The sequence below is a fragment of the Homo sapiens genome, chromosome 5 (assembly GCF_000001405.40).
Source record: "Homo sapiens chromosome 5, GRCh38.p14 Primary Assembly".
NCBI classification, from domain to species: domain Eukaryota; kingdom Metazoa; phylum Chordata; class Mammalia; order Primates; family Hominidae; genus Homo; species Homo sapiens.
This window is the reverse complement of record NC_000005.10, coordinates 3,325,036-3,326,553: the sequence shown is the minus strand read 5'-3', so window position 1 is coordinate 3,326,553 and position 1,518 is coordinate 3,325,036. Positions and strand designations below refer to the sequence as shown.

Sequence of the window (1,518 nt, the reverse complement as noted above, 5' to 3'; positions counted from 1 at the left end):
AAATTTGCTGAGAATTGGTGCTCGTCCAGGCAGCCGGGCTGGCCCTCCCCGGGAAGGCGTGAAACCAGCCAGGGGCGACCCTCGGTGGGGAGTCGGGCCTCCTCCTGTTTCGGGGGTGGTGGCCGCACGTGGGGAAGTAATGCATTATTGCAGCCCGACATACTTGTTAGCTATTTTCTTTTCCAGAATTAAAAAATTGAATTATACACGCAGCCTCGTTACCGAACCCGTAAAGTTTATTACAGTTTATCGACCATGTGCACACACTTCAGGGCCCGGCTTCCACGGCTGCTCTGAAGCCGGAACATTGAATTAAGACGCAGCGCCCGCCGCGGCGCGGGTGGACTCCAGCAGAGCCACAGGTAGCAAAAGTCTCCTTCAATTAGACGCAATCATCACTCACAGTCAATAATTGTGCTAAAGGCTGCTTTCAAATCTGTGAGGGATTCGCATTTAATGTACTGATTCAGCTTGTCTGAGCCAAATTCACTGTGTACTGAAACCAAAGCAATTTAGTTCTTGCCTACGGCCCTGTTGGCAGTTCATCTAGTGCTGAGCACTGTAAGGACTATGAGATACAATTTAATCTGAGACATCTGTGCACAGACAGGACCTTTTCCTTAACGGAGGGAGACGCAGGAACGGCTAAGCTCTAGTTTTATGTGAAGAACCAGGCCTTATCTCACCCCTGAAAAATAAAGCATTTAAGATAGAGTAAAAAGCCAAATCAAAAAAATATATATTTCTTCCCTGGGTTTATGAAATGCACACAGCAGCTACCGACAGCCTTTCTGCCCCAGCCCTCGGAAAGCACTTGAGCCATGATCCCTGGATTAACCATTTAAGGATATTACACTTATCACTGTCTGCAGCTGACGGAGGAGATCTTTATTAAATATGAAAGGGAAACGTCTCATACTTTGTGAGTTTGCAGAAATATGGAAATGCCTTTATGCGCGTCGCCTGCCTTGCGGTGGGCTTGGAAAAGTCCTGTGCTATTTACCACCCAGCACAAGCCCTTCACAGCATCTGAAGGACAGGACTGGCCCCCGCTGGTCACAGCACTGTCACGGGCTCCCAAGGCTGCCCAAGACACCGTGTGCGCCGTCGGCTCCGTGCCAGATCATAAAATGACAAGCCAGTAGGTTGCTGTGGTATGTGACTAAATAGGCAGCTCCTTCAGGCAGGCCCCATTGTTGAATCATGACTCTTACTCGTACATAAAGCACGGTTTGTTCTGTTTTGATTTTCAAGAGAGATGCAATTATGGAAACACTTAACCCCACGCACGCGCGCGCTCACACACACACACACACACGCCGAACAGCTAGGGCTTTGGGACTTTGTCGACTAGTTTTAATAAAAGGACATTTGGGCAGATTGTGAAGTTGCATGGTGGAAAGCAAGACGCCTGTGAGACGTAGAGAACAGCAGGCCAAGCAGAAAGCCTGGCTGTGTCCCTCAGGTGTGGGGCAGCGGGCCCTGCGCCCTGGATGGCGGCAGTCCAAGGTGGTGGCG

At 50.0% G+C, this 1,518-nt stretch overlaps 1 annotated feature.

Moving 5' to 3' along the window:
- Positions 980 to 1,161: a silencer, noted in NCBI's record as "fragment chr5:3325507-3325688 (GRCh37/hg19 assembly coordinates)". NCBI's record gives its function as "represses an EF-1alpha promoter that drives an FKBP-Casp9 reporter gene in an ReSE screen in phorbol 12-myristate 13-acetate-treated (for megakaryocytic differentiation) K562 erythroleukemia cells {active_cell/tissue: K562(+PMA)}" and the evidence as "EXISTENCE:reporter gene assay evidence [ECO:0000049][PMID:32094911]".